General features: G+C 37.7%; 1 protein-coding gene across 4 annotated transcripts in view; it reads right to left on the reverse strand.

Annotated features, from left to right (window-relative positions):
• Nucleotides 1–20,420, reverse strand: part of FGF13 (fibroblast growth factor 13) — a 590,297-nt gene that overhangs the window by 225,345 nt on the left and 344,532 nt on the right. For 3 of the 4 annotated variants that reach the window (NM_001139500.2, NM_001139501.2, NM_001139502.2), the window contains one exon: nt 17,441–17,608. The exons of the other annotated variant lie outside the window; for it this stretch is intronic. In NM_001139500.2, the coding sequence (NP_001132972.1) occupies nt 17,441–17,608 (168 nt within the window). The remainder of the gene's footprint in view (nt 1–17,440; nt 17,609–20,420) is intronic. 4 annotated transcript variants of the gene reach the window in all.

A 20,420-nucleotide genomic window follows, 5' to 3' on the forward strand; every position in this document is an offset into this window, starting at 1 on the left:
TAAAGAAAGGTGAAATGAAAACCTGACTTGAGGCAATATTCTACAAGTTTCTCTAGTTTCCACTGAAACTGGAACATCTGTATGTTTCTCTAGCTATTCATTAAATTCCTCCATTATCTAAACTACTGGAATTTGGAATAGCTGTAGAAATATTAGAGATCTGAGCAGCTATGGTGCTCATAAATCAGCAGTGCTGATTCTATGAATAGGCTACCACCTAAAAGAGAACTGGGGAGTTTGAAAACCTTTAGACTTTCAGTTGGATAAACAAACATCCCGCCATGGTACCTAATGCTTATCCAGAAACAGTTTACACACAGGGAGAATATGGATTGCTGTTCAGCTTCTAGCAGAAATAGGCAAACATTGGAGTAAATGAAGGGTAAAATTCAATATGCACAACAGGTCGCCCTGCCACTGTATACTTCTCTACAGGGGAAATCATAATAAAACAATAATAAAACAGTGGATATCTAAATGAAAAAGGGAAAGTGAAAACAGATGTGGTTCCTTTCAGAATAAAGCCTCCCCATACCTGACTCTCATTGTGTTATCTGGAAGGGAAGGAAGGAAATATAGGTAGAAGATGAATGCCAGGGAAGCCCCAAGACAGGGGCTGGTGAATTGAGGAGTGATGTTAAAATTGATATCTACCATTTTGAATCAGGATATAAAGGTACGAAGTCCAGTGGCCAGGGTGGTGGTCTACCAACCAAGCATTTTCTCTTGCTTCCAGTTTCTGACTTTCTGCCTATGGTGAGGGGATTTTCTTTGCTCCAAATTATTCTTCCACAAAATAACACAAAGCAAGGGGTTCTTTGCATTAGGTTCATGAAAGCATTAGGTCCCTGAAGTCAAGATTTGAGGCACTAAAAGGAAGAGTTAACAGGTCACAGAGTTAACAGGAAAAGTATGCTTACCTCCTAATCCATATGGCAGGTCTTGAGAGTCTCCCTTTTGGAAGAAACAGAGTGTGGCTTGGAAAGAGAATATAGTTTTGTACTTCGATCTCCCCATTTTCTAATGGTGAGATGTTGGGTAAGTTACTTAGCTAATTCGATCATATTACCTAATTTTCAAAAGGAAGACAGGCAAGTACTTACAAAATGTTACTTTTCCTTCTCCCTGTGCCCATACCAGGTCATGCCTAGGCTTTAATCTTCTCAAAGTCCAGAATTAAGATCACGAGTTTCAGCAAAAATGTGAAAAAGGAGAAGCCCACGGCCATCATTATATGGCCAGGAAACCTCCCCTCAAGCTCAACCAACGCAGCAAAAACTTGAAACAATTATGAAGTCAGACTTCAACCATATCTATTAGTTGAATTTCCATTTTAACTATGCATAAAGTTGTCAGGAAACATAATAACAAATTGAGTCTTATTTTAAACTATCTTGAGATATACAAAATAAGAGAATTCAGTACCTATCCAATCCTTTTTAAAAATTTTTTTTATTTATATATATATAAGGATATGGAGACTCAAGGAAGGAACGGACCTTATCCAAAGTAACATGAGTCACTGAGGACACTTTACTACGATAAAGGAACAAAATCAAAGCTAAGAAACAGGAACCAGATAAACCACAATTGCTTTTGAAAAAATAAATCAAAATACATTAAATTAGCTAAGAGGTAAACTTAATTCTATTCTTTGATAGTCTTTTGGAGTATTAATTTCTCTGAATTTTAATGAGTTTAGTTACTGCATGTCCCCCAAAATATTATGTGAAAATTCCAAAATTCCTTCTTTCCTGATCTCATAGACTTGCTGACAGTGTAAAGGAACCAGGATGAGGTAAGGAAAAAGTGATGCTTCATTTTGGCAGTTATTTTAAAGATTAAATACTGAGTGAAGCAACTAGCCCAGTGCCTGGCACCATTATAGGTACCCAATGTTAGTCGAGTCTGAATAGTTAGCTTGAATGTTCTAAGTTTTTCAATGTTGAACTAGATATGAAAACATGAAAAATAAAATCTTGAGGAATACCTTCACCTCTGCTCATCATCAGCCCTGCTGAAGAAAGGCTAGACTGAGCAGAAGCCTTCTAAAAGGACAGCAATGAAAAGATTTTTCTGAATGAGCTTATATTTGAGCCTGAGCCCATGATATAACTGACTTACATTCCTTTTCATATACAGAGTTTTCATGTCAAGCTCCTAAAAGGCAGGGACTCTGTCATATTTCTCCAGATCTCCTATAGTAGACACAGGGAACAAACCAAGTTGTAACTCATTCAATGACAGTGGAATTTAACCCGAAGCAGCCTCAGTTTTCTTATACCAAATCACTGCATTGAGCTCTACTGGAGAGCCTTATATAATATAAATATATTTATATTTGTATAAATAGCTGAGATAAGTTAAAGGTTTGAGAAGGGCAGGGGAAGGATCAGGAAGAGTAAGGCGGAGTTTGAATTAAGTTGAAACTACTACCTTAGTAACCCAAGGATGGAGAACCTTGGTTATGATGAAACAGAAGTATTTTGACTGGCTCTCAAAGAAGCAGAGTAATTTTCAGAATATATGTGTTTTGTTTGTATAGGTATTACACAGCCCAGTGGTTCTTAACAAGGTGATTTTGCTCCTTATGGGATATTTGGCAATATTTGGACATATTTTGAGTTGTCACAACTAGGATGGGGTGCTACTGGCATCTAGTGGGTAGAGTCAAGGGATGCTGCTCAATATCCTTCAATATATAGGACAGCCCTTGACAACAGAATTATCTAGCCCCAAATGTCAACAGCACCAAAGTTGAGAAATCCTGCTCTAGCTCAACACAGAGCCTGGCACTACTGACTGAAGGAAAAATAAATATCTCAACTAATTTTTACAGCTGAAAAGAATCACTAACAGATTTGCTCACTGGGTTTTAGGTCTCACTTGTGCTTCTCATGATAATTTGGTGTAATTTTTAAGCCAATGTTATTCATTATCAAGTATGAGAATGTGTTGCTTGATTTGTTAAAACCTTCTATGTAGAAAAAAAATAGGTAACATTCCATAAATGTAATAAATACTAAAGCTCTGGAGCACTGTAGGGGCACAGGTTGGCTTCTGATTTTCCCAGTGTCCACTCCCTGCTCCTCCAACCAGCAGTGATTTTACTAAACAAGAGAGAAGATAAAGTTCAGTTCGCATGTTAAATGTAACCTTCTTCCATCTACCTACAGAGATATTTCTCCTTCTTCTTCAAAGTCCTTTCTCTAGGTTACCACATAGGTGAGAAAAGGATGACAGGATATCAAAGGGGTTCACAAGCTCCCTGGTTAGCTCACATGTTCCACTATTGAGATTCCAACCTATAATCAAAGCACAAGATCCTGTCTCAGCACAGATTTAATTTAAACAAATTCAGGGAGAAAAGTAGTATTGGATATGCTAAGGAAAAAATGGAATGCTGCTAGAGGTAGGTCCATGAATGCAGTATTTTCTTTCTACATTTTTTTTATTTCAATAGATGTTTTGGGAATGCAGTATTTTCTGTCATGACATTCTCCTGTCTTAGGAAAAAGGGCAGTCAGCAAAAAGTGTCTAAAAGCTCTAGTCTCTCATGTTAGTTTAGAAATGGGTAGTATCCTAATACAGTCTGAATTAAGGGACAATCCAAGTGCAAGGGAAAAAAACCTTCAAATACATAGGACAGACCTTCAAAAAGAATTTTTTTCCCAAACACTCTACCTTACACTATGAAAAATGAATTCATTTAATTTCTTATTTTTTTAATCCCAAAAACACATAGCCTATTTCCTCCCTTGAGGCTACTAAGGAAGTAGCATTTGACCTTGGTGAGTGGGACACTCTGTACAGAAAACTTTCATCATATTTTGCATAGGAAGTTATCATTTCCTTAGGATCAACATTCACAAATCCTAGATAAAAACTTAGCCTAATTACATAGACTCTATATCATATTGTTAACAGTTCTTCACCACAAAACTGTGTATTTGTTCTTTTTAAACACTACTTCTTTCATTCAGCAAGAAACGTTCACTGCTAGACAAGGAATCAATTTCTAGCAAAAGTGCACGTTTGTAAAGTTGGCAGAAAACTTGCTTTATTGGAAACACATGTAATGTCATCTTGATTGTATCATATTAATGTGGCTTCAAAGTTTGTCAGTTTTAAAATACCAAACTCAAGGGGTGATTTAATTTTAATTCTCAGTGATCCAATATTTTTAGATTACAGAAAAAATTACCGAGCAAGCTTAACTACATTCAAAAGGATAAACAACAAAAGAATAAATTGGTCTTGCCAAAGCCTTAAACTTTACAGGCATTATAGAGAAGAAAAATCGATGACATCTTTACAAAGACCTACTCTTTCCTTAGCAGTTAGACAACATCTAATTCCTCATCACTCTATCTATCAAGGGTCAGTTTAACTATTTCAGTGATTTATGCCATTTATTCCCAAGAGCGTGAGAGGCAGAGACATCTGTTCTACATTGAAAGGAACTGGATTACAAAGCCTAGATGCTAAAAGGGATATATGAAAGGATTGTATTAAATTAGCAACGATTTACCGCATTCAGCTCTACTGATCCATTCCTCCTTCCTGAAGCCGAGTCCTTCCTTGGCTTCCTTAGACCTCATTCTTTTGGTTTTCCTTCTTTTTCTTCTGGAGTCCTTTCTTCTCTATAACATCTTACAATGTTTCTATGCCCCAGGCCTTGCTTCTCTAGTCTCTCTCCCTATGTGTCTCATCTGCTTTCATGGTTTTAATACTGGCCAGAGGCTAACAATACTGAATGTGTGTTACCAGCATAGAACTCATTCCTGAGCAATTGAAATGCAAGGCCATATAGTGCCTGACACACAGAAAAGTTGCTCAGTAAATGTTCAATGAAAAAAATTAATAAATGAATATTAAAATAGATAAATAAGACTTGAAAAACACATGGAGAGCTGAGGTGTCCTGTACAAACTCATCATAGAACAGTCAATGCCACCCTGCCTTACCAGCTGACCACAAATATATTGTTGAGCCCAGGAAGGATAAGCAATGCCCAGCTTAGATCAGCAGAACCACAGAGCCAACCTATAGCCCAAGAGAAATAAAATATATTTAGCGGGTTTAAGCCACTATGTATTAGAGTGTTTTTGAATGCAACACAATCTTGATAATCAAGTAGTTCTAAGTCTGCTTTCCTGCTAGTCTTTAATTCCTCCTTGAGGGCAGAGATGTAATCTGTCTTATCATGCTGTGCCTACCCACCATAATGCCTGGCTTGTGCAAGACACTCAATAAACACCTATTAACAAATATATCAATTCTGCTAATGGTGATGAGAAGCACTCAGTCATTTGCCACCTGGAATTAGAGCAAATGGCCGTTGAACACAGAATATCAAAATGTGTTAGATAAATAAGTTATTTGTAATAATAAATATTCATTGAGCACTTACTGTTGACAGACACTGTGCTATGCTTATGGTATCCATTTAATAAAGCTCTATTAAGTAGGGATGCAATGGAGGTTGTATATTTAAATGGAGTCCTGACTGGGAAGGGAGAGAGACCACTTTTAAGCACCAGTAGCCATTCACAAAGAAAAAGCGGCACTAGAGGAAAAGGTTCCTAAACTATGCTGATTTGCTTTGGGGATTTTTTTTCTCCCTCACTAAATATTCTGGGTACATTTAACCAATTATCCACTAAGTGAACAGCTTACCATGTATGCCAATTAGAGATTTACTGAATTAGTTCATGAATCTTCTAACATGGATTCTAAATGCTATCTTCTCAGAGAAAAATCAAGTAAGTACAGAGGGGAAATGGCTGAAGAAGGAACATAAGAGAAAAGTTACTTGCTGGCAGCTTCTATAATCCCCACTTTTTGAAATGCCCTTTGTTCCTTCCTTGTTGCTTAAAAAGAACCCGATTTTGTTCACAGCCTGAGGCAGTTTGCTAGACAAATGTCCTCGCTGTATGAATGGCTTGCTTGAGCCCATATTATCCCATAGAGGGCTGTGATTAATCTGGGCTTTGTTGGGCTGGATGTATCGTAGAAAGGACTCCAGTAGAGGAACCATGTGAGCTGTACTATTCTGCTTTTAAGTGTTTTTTCCCCCAAATAAACTATTTTAAATAGTAATATGTGTCCATTTGTGTGTGTGTGTGTGTGTGTGTGTGTGTGTGTGTGTATTCAAACCCTCTTTGAATGGCAACTAGCGACCACAAAGGGGCATGTTTCCCTTGTCCCAGTGTTTTGTGCTTTTGGAAGGGACAGAATCAACTGTGCCATTATGAGAGCAATGGCAGGTCTCTGGTGGAGCTCAACTGAGACAGCTCCTGCCCCATTGAAGTCCTCTGTGAAGGTTTTACACCCAATTCAGGGCAAGTCACCTGTGCTCATGCACGGAAAGAGAGAGAAGAAGCAAATAATTTCAATATGGATGTGTCATTTCCTCGAGTCTCCCTGTATTTGTGGACAGACTATCGTAAAAAGGATGCCACCTCTCTCAGTGCTGGCTCCAGCATTGCCTTCTGCCATGATTAAATGTCTCCTGAGGCCTCCCCAGAAGCTAAGCAGATGCCAGCATCATGCTTCTTGTACAGCCTGCAGAACTGTGAGCCACTTAAACCTATTTTCTTTATAAATTACCCAGTCTCAAGTATTTCTTTATAGCAGTGTGAGAACTGACTAACACATAGGTGGAAAGGCACATTCCCTAGCCTAAAGAAAGCAGAGTAGACAAGTGAGCTTTTAATATCTTTTATCTAGGAACAGATCTATTGCATTCAAATCGAATTTAAGTATTCATTAATCACTCCATTATTTCTTTGTATGCCGGGACCAAGTCATCAGTTCCTTAAAGGTAAGGGTCATTTCATCTCTTCCTTTTGAGTGCTGCACTCTACCTAATCTTAGGCCTACAGAATGAGCAAGTACCTCCTGAGTCGAGTCCCTTCTGCTTATGACAAACTCTTGCTGTCACAAAGCTGAGGAAGGACTGTAGACAGAATTTTATTCCTTTACACTTAAGATCACTTTTTAGCACTACAGTTTGTTTTAGATAACAAATGCACTTATGGAGCAAGAGGGGGGAAACTGAGCATATGGAGAAGCCATGGAGGGGAGAAGGCATGGCTTTTAGAAGCCAGAAAAATTAGGTTCAAATCAAGTCCTCTCATTTACTGGTGAAGTGACTTACTCTTTCTGCATCTTAGTTTGCTGATCTGTGAAATGGTAGTAGCAACCCTATCTGACAGGGTTTTCGTGATCATGCTTCTAAGGGGCTATGCACAGTGTTGTCACTGAAGATGTGGCCCAGTGGAAGTACGCTCTCTTCCCTTTCCCTTTTGTAGATATAGTCTTGGGGCCATTGTACACTTGCTGCTTCCAAAGCTGGACATGCTTCTGAGAATATATATCTTAAAATAGCTAGGGCTCATAAGTAAAAATTTGCTAGCACATGGGTGGAAGTGGACAAGTGATTTTCATGTGCTGGAGTGAGTGTGGATATTGGCTGTGAGGCAAGACAAGGGCAAGTGCTGATAAAATGCAGAATATAATGTCTCTTGTTTAACGCTTTCACAGTGGTCATTATTGAAGGTGCTATTCTTAAGCACACTAAAAAATGCCGTAGAGTATAAGAAATGAATATCAGAATCCACGTAGTTTAAAATGCTAGGAATGATTTATAAACATGGATAGCAATTAAAGCCTCCTAATCATGTCAGAGTCAAGTTTCACATATGGGCTGCTGTAATCCTTTTATGCTGCAGTAGCCGATTACATTTAGATGATAAGAGGGCAATGCCTCGATGACAGCCTCTGGTGTAACACAGAGACAGATACACAGGCTACAAGCTGCTTGAGTCAAGCTTTGCAATCTTACTCTAGAGCAGTAGCAATCAAGTAAAGAATTGTCAGTACTTTTCTGGCATATCGTGACACCCTTTTCTCCTTCTCCATCTTCTTGTTTAAGTACAGTCTGAGAAACTCTTTGACCCATACTTGCAAGCTGCATCAGATTCTGAGAGCAGAACAAGTGTTTCAACAATTGCTTGCAAGAAAGAATGTTGGTCACAAGGTGGCAGATTACCACACGCTTATGGAGAATCCTAATTATTTTTCTAAAAGCACAGAGTGGCAAACAAGTAAGGGAACTTCAGAAAGGTGTGTGTGCACATGGTGGGAAAGACGGATACCTTACATGGCCATAAGTTCTAAAGGTCATATAAGGGCTGCCTCTCCAGCTGAGCCCTCTATCACAGGGCACCTTTTGAAGAGGCCCATGCAATCAGCATGATAAGATTCCTGGATTGACAGCTGACATCACTCAGCAGACCTTATGCCAAGGTGATTATTTCCTAAGGCAGTGATTCCAACCCTGTTAGCACATTAGAATCACTTAGATAGATTTTAAAAAAAAGTACCCCTGTTGAGCCGCTACCACAATAAATTTTTTTCCAGTTATAAAGTCCTTTTTACTTAATTATTTCTTCTCAAGAAATATTTCTTCTCAAGAAAAAATATACAATGAGGACATAGAATGAAATGTTTTATCCATATAAAAACTAGTAACTAAAAGTTGAGTATCTCTTATTTGAAATGCTTGGGACCAGAAGCACGACAAGAGATTTTGCAGGTTTTCTTTGTTTGTTTGTTTGATTGTCAGTTTTTGGTTTGATGTTGAGCTCAGGCGTCAGTAGTATTTAAATATCCTCAGTTGATTCCAATGTACAGCCAAGTTTGAGAATCACTAATCTAAAGCAGTGTTACTCAATGTATGGTACACAAACATAGCACTAGTCTGTGAACTATGTTACTTAATACAGTTCTTATTTAGTTCAGCTGACATTACTTTTCACAGCAAGACAGCAATATTTTCTTCATGAAGGAAGCAGTGATTTACCTTCTGGCATAAGATCCTTATCTAGTCATGGATTGGTAACAAAGAACTTGAGACACATGAAGAACATTTGAGTAGCCTTTCTCTAACGATAGTAGGTGGGAATCGAGAGGAAGGGAACAGCAATCATTTTCAAAAGTGTGCTACTTGACAAAGCTCATGTTTGATGAGAACACACTGCTTAGTAGAGCCAGCAGAGCCTTTCCCAAAGTGTTACTTGGAAGATGTTCATCTGTATTATCAGTAAAAGGGTCCAGTAGCTAGAAGATGCTGTTTACCACTGAACTGCCTAAGGTAGACAGCTTCCTAATCTGCAAGACTCTTTAAAATCTTTCATATACTCATATGCATTGTGACTCTCTAGGAATGGCGTGTAATTTGGGAAACATATTTGACCACAAATGCTGTCTTTTTACATAAATATATGATCAGTGTTGCATGAAATATTATTGGAAAACATTGATCTGATAACTATGTAAGAATCTGTGAAAAAGATTATAGTTCACTCCTGTATTCTCTTCAACCAGGCAAGTGAATTGTCATTTAAAACAAAAGACAGGGTGAAAATTGGAGCAGAGGGAGCAGAACATTCTTGTGCATCTCCTTAATAGACGTAGACTTCTAATATCAGGATTGGGCTTGATTTGGGGAATCAACCAGTCTTTCAGGCTATGCCTTTATGGACATGGAACATAGCCTAGCTGGGTCATACCATGCTGGGTCCAGAAGGCAGAATTTCTTAAGTGGTTTACCAACTGGCTGGGAAGAGAAAAAAACTCCAGAAAAGTTGGCAAGACATCATCCCAAGAGCATGTTGCCAACACAATCCCTGATGTCTTGGCCTTGAAAGGGGAAGCACCCATATGGATGTATAACTTCCAGATGTTTTCAAGTATCTTTGATTTTGACTTTTTAAAATCAAAATCACCAGCATACACTGTCATTCATCTAGTAGAACTTTCAAAGCACTTTCGCAGATAAGTGTCACTTTAAACATAAATGCCTGAAACGGGTCATCAGTGCTGGCTTCATACAGGAGAAATGTCTGCTCCAAGTATTAACTAAGGAAGACTTCAGCCAAGAGAGTTACAAAGGAGAAACAACTTTGTCTCAAGGAAACCACCACCATGATTGGAACACATAAGCTCAAGGGAGAGGGGAGGTCAGTTGCTTTAAAAAGTGAATGATATTTTAAAGAACGAACGGTTATTAGTTTGTACTCTAAAAGCCAGCCTCCAGCCTAGAGACTGAATGGAGATGCATATATTCAATAAGAGAATGATAAATGTCCATCTTATCATGAAAGTGAATTACTGGCTACTATACATACTCCTTGATTAGACTGTAAGTTTTCCAGAGAGTAGAAACTATCCCCAAAATATGACTTCATTTTGTGTTTGCTGCCATAAGGTAGGGGAAATAAGGGGGAAGAAAGAATGGGTTTCATTGCCATTGCTGGTTTACTAATGTTATCAGGACATAAGCTGTAAGAGAAATAGAATTAAATACTTTGTGGGGAGAGGATAGTGTTTACTCACTGCTAATGACCAAGGCCACCAGATTTCTGGCATTAATTTGGACTAATATTTTTTTATCTTTCTTGTGACTCTGCAATTAAGCTGCCATTTGCTTCAATGAGCAAAGAAAATTGTCTTGTGTCATTTTGTGATCCTTCAGGTCATAAATCAAAGGCAGGGTGGCCCTAAGTCATGAAAGAAAAAAGTGACTTTGAAATAAAAAGGTTGAGAACAAAGTCTTCTTATCTCTTCAGAGTCACCAGAACACATGGTCCCATGCTTTTCTTTTTAAGTTCCGGTGTACATGTGTGGGATGTGCAAGTTTGTTACATAGGTAAATGTGTGCCATGGTGGTTTGCTGCACCTATCAAACCATCACCGAAATATTAAGCCCAGCATGCATTAGCTATTTTTCCTGATGCTCTCCCTCCCCCGATACCTCTCACCTCAACATGCTCCGGTGTGTGTTGTTCCACTCCCTGTGTCTATGTGTTCTCATTGTTCAGCTCCCACTTACATGTGAGAACATGTGGTGTTTGGTTTTCTGTTCCTGTGTTAGTTTGCTGAGGATAATGGCCTCTGGATCCATCCATGTCCCTGCAAAGGACATGATCTCGTTCCTTTTTATGGCTGCATAGTATTCTACAGTGTATATATACCACATTTTCTTTATCCAGCCTATCATTGATGGGCATTTGGGTTCATTCCATGTCTTTGCTACTGTGAATAGTGCTGCAGTGAACATATGTATGCATGTATTTTTATAACAGAATGATTTATATTCCTTTAAGTATACACCCAGTAATGGGATAGCTGGGTCAAATGGTATTTCTGGTTCTAGGTCTTTGAGGAATTGCCACACTGTCTTCCACAATGGTTGAACTAATTTACATTCCCACCAACAGTGGAAAAGCATTCCTATTTCTCCACAGCCTTACCACCATCTGTTGTTTCTTAACATTTTAATAATCACTATTCTGACTGGCATGAGATGGTACCTCATTGTGGCTTTGATTTGCATTTCTCTAATGACGCAGCAAAGGTCTTCAATAAAATTCAACTCCCCTTCATGTTAAAAACTCTCAATAAACTAGTTATGGAAGGAACATACCTCAAAATAATAAGAGCCATTTATGACAAACCCACAGCCAATATCATTCTGAATGGGCAAAAGCTGGGGGCATTCCCCTTGAAAACCGGCACAAGACAAGGATGCCGTCTCTCACCACTCCTATTCAACACAGTATTGGAAGTTCTGGCCAGGGCAATCAGGCAAGAGAAAGAAATAAAGTGTATTCAAATAGGAAGAGAGGAAGTCAAATTGTCTTTCTTTGCAGATGATGTGATCCTATATCTAGAAAACCCCATTGTCTCAGCCCAAAAGCTTCTTAAGCTGGTAAGCAACTTCAGCAAAGTCTCAGGATCCAAAGTCAATGTGCAAAAATTACGAGCATTCCTACACACCAACAACAGACAAGCAGACAGCCAAATCATGAATGAACTCCCATTCACAATTGCTACAAAGAGAATAAAATACCTAGGAATACAGCTAACAAGGGAAGTGAAACACCTCTTCAAGGGAACTATAAACCACTGCTCAAAATAAATCAGAGGACACAAACCAATGGAAAAACATTCCATGCTCATGGATAGAAAAAATAAATATGTTTAAAATGGCCATACTGCCCAAAGTAATTTATAGATTCAATGCTATTCCTGTTAAACTACCATTTACATTATTCACAGAATTAGAAAAAAACAATTTTACAATTCATATGAGACCAAAAAGAGCCTGCATAGCCAAGACAATCCTAAGCAAAAAGAACAAAGCTGGAGGCATCACACTACCTGACTTCAAAGTATACTGTAACGGTACAGCATGGTACTGGTACAAAAGCAGACACATACAACAATGGAACAGAATAGAGAACTCAGAAATAAGACCGCACACCTACAACCATCTGATCTTTGACAAACTTGACAAAAACAAGGAGTTGGGAAAGGATTCCCTACTTAATAAATGGTGCTGGGTGAACTGGCTAGCCATATGCAGAAAATTGGAACTGGACCTCTTCCTTGTACCTTATACAAAACTTAATTCAAGATGGATTAAAGACTTAAATATAAAACCCAAAACTACAAAAACCCTAGAAGAAAATCTAGGCAATGCCATTCAGGACATAGGCATGGGCAAAGATTCCATAATGAAAACATCAAAAGCAATTGCAACAAAAGCAAAAATTGACAAATGGGATTTAATTAAACTAAAGAGCTTCTGCACAGCAAAAGAAACTATCATCAGAGTGAACAAACAGCCTATAAAATGGGAGAAAATGTTTGCAATCTGTCTATCTGGCAAAGGTCTAATATCCAGAGCCTAAAAGGAACTTAAACAAATTTACAAGGGAAAAACTAAACAACCCCATTAAAAAGTGGGCAAAGGACATGAACAGACACTTCTCAAAAGAAGACATTCATGCAGCCAACAAACACATTAGAAAAAAAAAAGCTCATTATCACTGATAATTAAAGAAATGCAAACCAAGGCCCCATGCTTTTCTAACAGAATAGGAATGTCCCCTCAATTATTCTAAAGGAGACAGACATGGAACCTAGTTATGTCTTTCCTGAAAGTCAAGATATTTTCAGCTGACAAGCATCAGAGGTTATTACCCAACTCTAGCTTAGTGACAAAATGATTTAATAACCATAGTTTAGTTTTATTCAACTATTAATTCAAATTAATGCTGACACATTTTTCTCGAAAGGAAAATTAGCATTAAGATGAGGAAGGCACAACAGGAAAACAACAATGTTGAAAAAACATGAAGATGAAAAACATTTCCCTCAGCATGTTCCTCAGCATTCCTCTGACTTCTTCCTCTCCCATCATTAAGGTAAGACTGATATTCATGGTGATGTATGCTCTTTCTGGAATAACCCAACGCATTATCAGAGTAACAGACATGGTAGTTACAAATATACCCCCTTACCATTTAGCATGTAATTTTGCTTTCTCTTGGTTGGTGGAAGCTGCCATACTTTATCATCAATCTCCAGCACAGATTCTCTTCTCCAACCAAAGCCGCAATGGTTGGATGGCTCTCTGAATAAAAAGGTTACGAATGCCCTAAGGAAGACAGAATGTGTGTGTGTGTGCGTGTGCGTGTGTGTGTGTGTGTGTGTGTGTGTGTGTAATCACATGAAAACAGGACTATAGCAAAGAGCTCAAATGCCTGATAAAAAGATGGTGACAAATCACCAAGCTCTGTAGTACTTTCCTATGTTGCATTAATTTCTTCACATTTACTATCGTAATCAGAATTTTAAACCCTAAAAGCAAACACTGGGAATCCATGATTTATTTTTCCCTGTAGATTTCCAACACTATCTACTTGCAAGCATATTTATCTTGGTGTGATTCTCTTTAACAATCTTCGAACATCAGTAAAAGTCCAAGGAGTGGCATTTAGGAAATGACAACTATGCTAATATTAGATTGGCTTCCAGGAGTTACTCTAAATTAGTGATTTCATTTTGGCACAAATGCCATAGGAAGATAAAGTGAACAAAAGAATAAAGCTATGAAGCTTATACTTTCTTTTGCCAAAAGGCTCCTGGAGCGGTAAGAAAAAGATTTTGGTAATGATCTCCACTCTCCATGTGGCTTTCTTTTAACAAAGAACATTGCTGGTACTGGGCCAAATTAGACTCTCAGATACTTGTGTGCACTTCTTCAGCCAAATTCCAGCACTCACATAATATTATATCATAAGTGGTTTTTATAGAAATAATCATGTCACTGAAAATCGCAAATGTTTGGAACAGATTAAAAATTTTTTTGGAATTGGATATTCATAAATAGAAACCTGGTATTGGCAAAGTGTAATTTGGCCTTCGTGTATCCTGAAAAGCCAGTGAGATATTTCAGTCCCTTTGTGTATTATTTTATATGGATTCTGAGGGCCCTGGACGTAAGACAAAAATATCTATAAAAAGATGGGTGACTATAAACAATGTTAAATTATCTGTAGCAAATCTTAAGAGGTCATAAACTATGAAAACAGCCCAGCCCTTATAAACCACTGCCAAACAAAAGAAACAGCAAGACTTTATCTATACTAATTAAAAAAGAGTTGGGTAATTTTTATCAATTTAGTAATTCCAACTGTATCACAATACACATAAACCTGTTTAATTAATCATTTCTAAAGCTTACGCAATTCAAACATTTATTTCCCCAAAAGGCTTAAAAATTTTTTTTTAATTTTTCATTTGGGGGTTTTAACATTGCATAAAAAAATAATCTCATTAGAAGAGGTTATACTAGCATACGGGCATTGCATAGATCAAACAATGTATGGTTTAACCACCCTGTCCATTGCCTTCACCTGCTGTAGAATTGGTGAGCATCCACAGCCAAGGTCAATTAAGGTCTCATGTTTTGGCACGGAGGCCATGACAGGGAGTATCTCTTCAAAATGTTTCACGTAACAATAAAATGTTTCAAGGTATAGACATAGTTTAAATGCAAAACACTATCCATTTGTTAAAAAAAAAAAAAGAGGTCTTTTATTTCTACTAATTATAACAAAATGTCACAACAACCTTAAGAGGGAACCGAACACTATAACTTACGGCAATTAAAAAACAGTCCTGCAAAAATCTTCCAGGTTGCCAGAATGACCAGTGAACCCTTCCAAACCCATAGTTACTTCGCCTCCTGGAAATGATGAGCTTCGATATCCTACATGAAGTAAGCATGTTAAGTTCTTGGCAATGTTTCCTTATTTATCCAAGATCAGCTCCACAGCATGTTTTCTTTCGCCCCCATCTAAAGCCTTCTGGATCCTGTTAACTTGTGTAGAGATCAAGTGTTTTCATTTTAAGGTCTGAGTTCATCATTAGATTCTGGGATCTTGTTTGAGGGGGTACAGTAAGATTGCAAATAGTATTTAAATGTCATCCCAGAAAACCTCTGACTTTAATACTAGTTACAAATCATTCATAAGAATAAAGACAGAAATATTAGCTTTGATATCGTGGCAGGAGGACCTGGAAGGAGGGCAAGACTGAGGAAAATCTCCAATCTGAAAGAAGACAATGCCCATCATCACAGTACACAAGTGAAAGGATGGCAGCCCCATTAAACACAATGGCAACAGCTCAATATGTGGATTAAATGACAGATCAAAAACTACCTAACTTTGCAGAAGAGAGTCTAACTGCTACCTATTCTCTTAAGAATTCTCTATATCTGAAAATATTCATAACAGTATTTACAATACACTCCAGATGGTACTTGAAAATAACAGATTCTGTCAAAATTATATGTAATAATAAAAGGAATGGGGTCTTAACTGTTTTTTAAAATCTGAAATATTGTTAAAAATATTTTAATTATGTAACTGATTGCTTGAGCGAATTTAACCAGCTGCTTCTTAACTGGCTTATTTTTCTTAACGAAACCAAATTTTGATTTTTAGGCTGATTTGCAAGTACAAAAACTGTGTGTGTGTGTGTGTGTGTGTGTGTGTGTTTATAATTTTTAGAGTAAAGAAAGCAGAAAATATTGGAATGTAGTATATATAGTAAAGTAATTGTCACTGGTTAAAATTTTTTTGTTTCATTAAAGTACAAAATAAAGTTAGTTATCTTCTCCACTAAACAACCAAATGATTGCTTTTACTCACTGTAAAAGTTCACCATTTATACCTCCAGATGAATATATGTGGAAGTCGGTGGTCACACTCAACGTGAATAGTTTAGACACCAAAAGTATGGGTAGAATATAAATATGAGTGCTCTATTCTATGGCTGAATTAAACACAGATACATGTAGGCTTCTCATTTTCTGCCAATGATTGTCTTAAACTCTATTTGGAAAGAAGAAAAGGGGAAACTTTGAGTTGTGAAGTTTTGCTTCCAAAACTACGGACTAGAGTGCATTTGGAGAAATTTATTTACTCACCGAATTTTAACCCACATGCCAGTCTCTCCCATATCAGAAAGACAATTATCATAAGGATTCCCATAATGATGCAAAAGGGCAACTTGAAATAGAAACAAGGTCGCTTTTAGAAATTATACAAAAACCACTAATGCAAAAGTATACACCAACTGCCAAAGAACAGGTGAATTTTGTCACTTCCAAATGTTATTCATTGGTAAACTGCCTCAGTGATATTTAATGTGAGGGGAAAATGGGCTGTTTAACAAGTATTAGCATTTACATTATAATTCTCAGAAGTTATTTTGGAAGCTGGAATGTAAACAGATGGCAATAAATTTACCACATTTTATTTGTAATGTGAAAAATATTTCTCTTTGATAGATGCAAAAATGTTGGAAACAATGAATAAATACCATTTCTGGCCAGATGAAATACTTTGAAGATATATTTGTGATATGGATTGCAATGAGTACCTTATTAACCTCAGTTTAAGTAACAGCAAGTAGAGTTGTCCAAACCTGTACTTGAGCTGAAAAGAAAAAACAAACTACTCATAGTTTCCTTGAGGCATGCATTTTACCATGGCAAAGTGCAACGGGGCGTGCATTATACAGGTAATCTGGGCCTGCTTCAGCAAACTAAGTAGATCATGAGCATTCTTCAAGTGCAATGCAAAAGCTTTATGGAGTGAAGGAGAGTTGAAAATTTTTGAAACAATCTTCTCATTATTTCATTTTAGAAGTTTCATTCCTCAGCTGACTGCTGCTTCAGGAATGCAAGGTGATGGGAACAGAATTGGCCAGATGTTGGCTACAGAAGCAAGCAACTTTGCCAGCCCAAATGGGGCAGTAAAATGACAGCAACTGAAAATGTTTCAGCTGTGAAAAGCAGGGTGACGCTGTGCGCTGTGCCAGAGATGACCATATTATACAGCGTCCCATCTGAGACTGTATAACACTTTCACCAGCCAGCCAGGGGGCCTCCTAGCTATGGCAGGGCCTGAACAACACACAGCACACCAGAGGGCAATGCACAATCCAAAAGAAAGAGAAAGAAAGAAGAATGAGAGAAAACAAGCAAAACACGCGTCTGTCGTGCACAAACCTTCCGGCTCTGTGTTCTCTTTGTGGTGTACTTGCTTCAGCGGGCAGCAGAAGATTTCGTGACACTTAGCACGAAAGGGGGACTCTTTTTTCTTTAATTCCGCAGATTGGATGGAATCTTGTCGTAACATAATGTATTCCTGTGTGCCAGGGGGGGCGTCATCCAGAACTGTGGTCACCACATAACAAAATGAACTCAAGTTAGAGCCTCAGAAAAGCAGCGAATGTCTTAAATCAAATATACTCCCAGGGAAGACTAAAGAAACAACAGCCCTAAGAAAAGTTTCAAAGAAAAACATCTAATAGCTTGGCGATTTTATTTTAATGGGCTTAGTTTAAAATACTAAAGCCGTGGAAATAGCTACTCGACTATATATACCTCTGTTGCTAGTACAATGAAAACAGTGTTAAATCATACCCAAAGTGCAAAAACGTATTTTAATATGGATGCTCATGTTGTATCTAAATAAACACCATGTAGAACTTATAGGTTTCAGATTGAGTACAATATAAGTATTCATAGGTTAAACTGGCTAATATCCACCAATTATCAGTAAATTTGCTTCTGTTTCTTTTCTTGGTCTGCTCCTGGTGAGGGCCTTACTTCCAAGCAGTATACACGGAGACAGACAGAAGAATCAGTCACTGCTCTTTACTCTTTTGATTTCCAAAGAGAACTGAAGCTGTTGCAAACATTCTTCAGATGTTCAAAACCCCTTAATGAAGACAAGAGATTCCAGCTGAGAGCCTACGAAACAACGCTTGGTCAAAGGACTACCTTGTTGGATTGTAAAAGAGCCAGGCCTGGTTTAATAATTTTGGCCTTAGGTATACACCAGGATCCTCTCAGTCCACATTTTTCTTTCTAGGCTCTTTATATGCTTCCTAAGTGTATCACTAGTGTTTTTGTATCACTATTATTTTTATTCCCTGCAAAAGCAAGATATTTGCCTTTATAGGGTTCACTGCTACATTCTCTATTCTGAAAACCTTCCATGAAAATAGGTGCAAATTTGATCTGCATTTTCAGAAACAGGGAACTGACCCCAGCATGAATTGTTTTCTTTCACACCCTTCCCAATGAGGCCATTCCATTTCACCAGAAGTGAGTCAGTGCCTCCAAAGCTTTGATTAATGACGAGCTGACTCATTCTACTACCCGAAATGCATACACTTAACACGCATGTAGGAGGACTGATACTACTAGCAAATTTCTTGTGGGGTGAATAATGCCGTGGTGTTTGTAAAAAAAAAAATAAATAAATAAACAAATGGTGGCTGAATTTAGATGGGATATGAAGCTTCTGTGTTGGGTAAAACATTCCTAGCTCATTGGCTGGGATCTTAAGGGGCTTTAAGAATTTCCTTTCATGTCAAGGAAAAAATAGTATAAAAACCAACATAACTTTTAAATTAGTATTATGAGTTTAGAACAAGTTCTTAATAGATTGACTCTATGAGGGATTGTTGTCTTCCTTTATAACTCATTAAATTATGCAAGATGGTGATGCTGATATTTTAGTCAGTTCTCTATTTCCCTCTAGCATTCAGCAGCAGCAATCAAAAATATTACATAGACACACCACGATAGCTTTTTCCGTAGAGAGTTCCCTTCATCTACTAGGAATGCGACTATAACTTCTTAGAATCTCGTTGTTGAATGCACATCTTTGCTAGCAACAGCTGCTATTCAAAACATTTGTAACCATTTCCTGCCATGAGCAGATAGTTATGATAATATAGACACTCATCAAATTCCAGCATCACAGCTGAAGACAAATTCTAGTTTTACCATCCAAAATATTTAAATAAAACTCCCCAAATTGGAACTCTTTAAAAAAAGAAGCACCCATGATTATATGGAAACTGAGAAATTCCATTTTCACCCACTGCTGTATAGAAAACATATTATAAGACTGAAGGACAATTGGAGGATAAAAGAGAAAAAATGACTTTTTGACAATGCATAAGGAATTTGTTATTCAGAAGTACGTGACAGATAACAGTAAACTGTCTTCCATTTTCATTGCTCAGTACCAACAATGATGTCACAAATTGACATTTCTGGAGATTAATAGTGGACTGAAGCTAATAGCCTTTGGCTGACTCTCCAGCCATCAGCTTTTCCCAGCTGGTCATTAATTCCCAGAAAATGCCTTGTACTGGCATCATTATTGTTTAATTAGATACGACTGGTTATCTGTAACACACAACAAAATTCTAGTGAAAGCTACATGCTGACTGATACAAGTGCTAACCCCAAAATTCATCATGATGGGAAAAACATGAAGGTCATAAAAGTGCAGGATAATTGCTTTCCACAAAATTTTCCCTGTCTTTTGTTCTTTCTTCAAATTGAATTTAGCAAGTGCAAAAGGTGCCAAGATGAGAGTGTTCAAGGAGTCATCAGAACAGTAACCATAGGCACAGAACATTTCCTCGGAAATCGTGAACATCTGGGAGTTAATGGGTCAGCTTTGGGTCTCAGGCTGTCTCTCCTCAATACCTCAAATGTCAGTCAATTCAAGCAAAACAGAAAAAAAAAGAGTAGTCAACCAACAGTAGCTTGATGTTATGTTGGCAAAAGAGCTAGAAACACTGATTTTTTTAAACCAGAAGTGGCACTGTATAGGCAACACATTACGCTGGCTTATAAAATCTCTTTAATTTGAGATATTTTGGATGGAAAATTAAAACTGTTATATCAAATGCACTTATTCCCAGGGCTCCCTCAAGTAGGATGGTGGCTGTATGTGCAGTTGACAGCAGAAAGAATGAAAGATGACTTCCCACAGGACTCCAGCAGTAAGATAGGTGGGTAGCTTTGTTCTGATTCCCTAAGAAAGTGATGAGGATGCAATGCGTCCATGGGGTACCAGCTTTATGAAGGGAAAAGGAGACCTGCAAAGAATCCAGCCCATTAAGATAGGAAAAGGGAATGGGTTTCTTTTTTCCCTGGCTTAATGCAATGTTTTCTGCCA

This window comes from Homo sapiens, chromosome X, assembly GCF_000001405.40.
Source record: "Homo sapiens chromosome X, GRCh38.p14 Primary Assembly".
Lineage (NCBI taxonomy): Eukaryota > Metazoa > Chordata > Mammalia > Primates > Hominidae > Homo > Homo sapiens.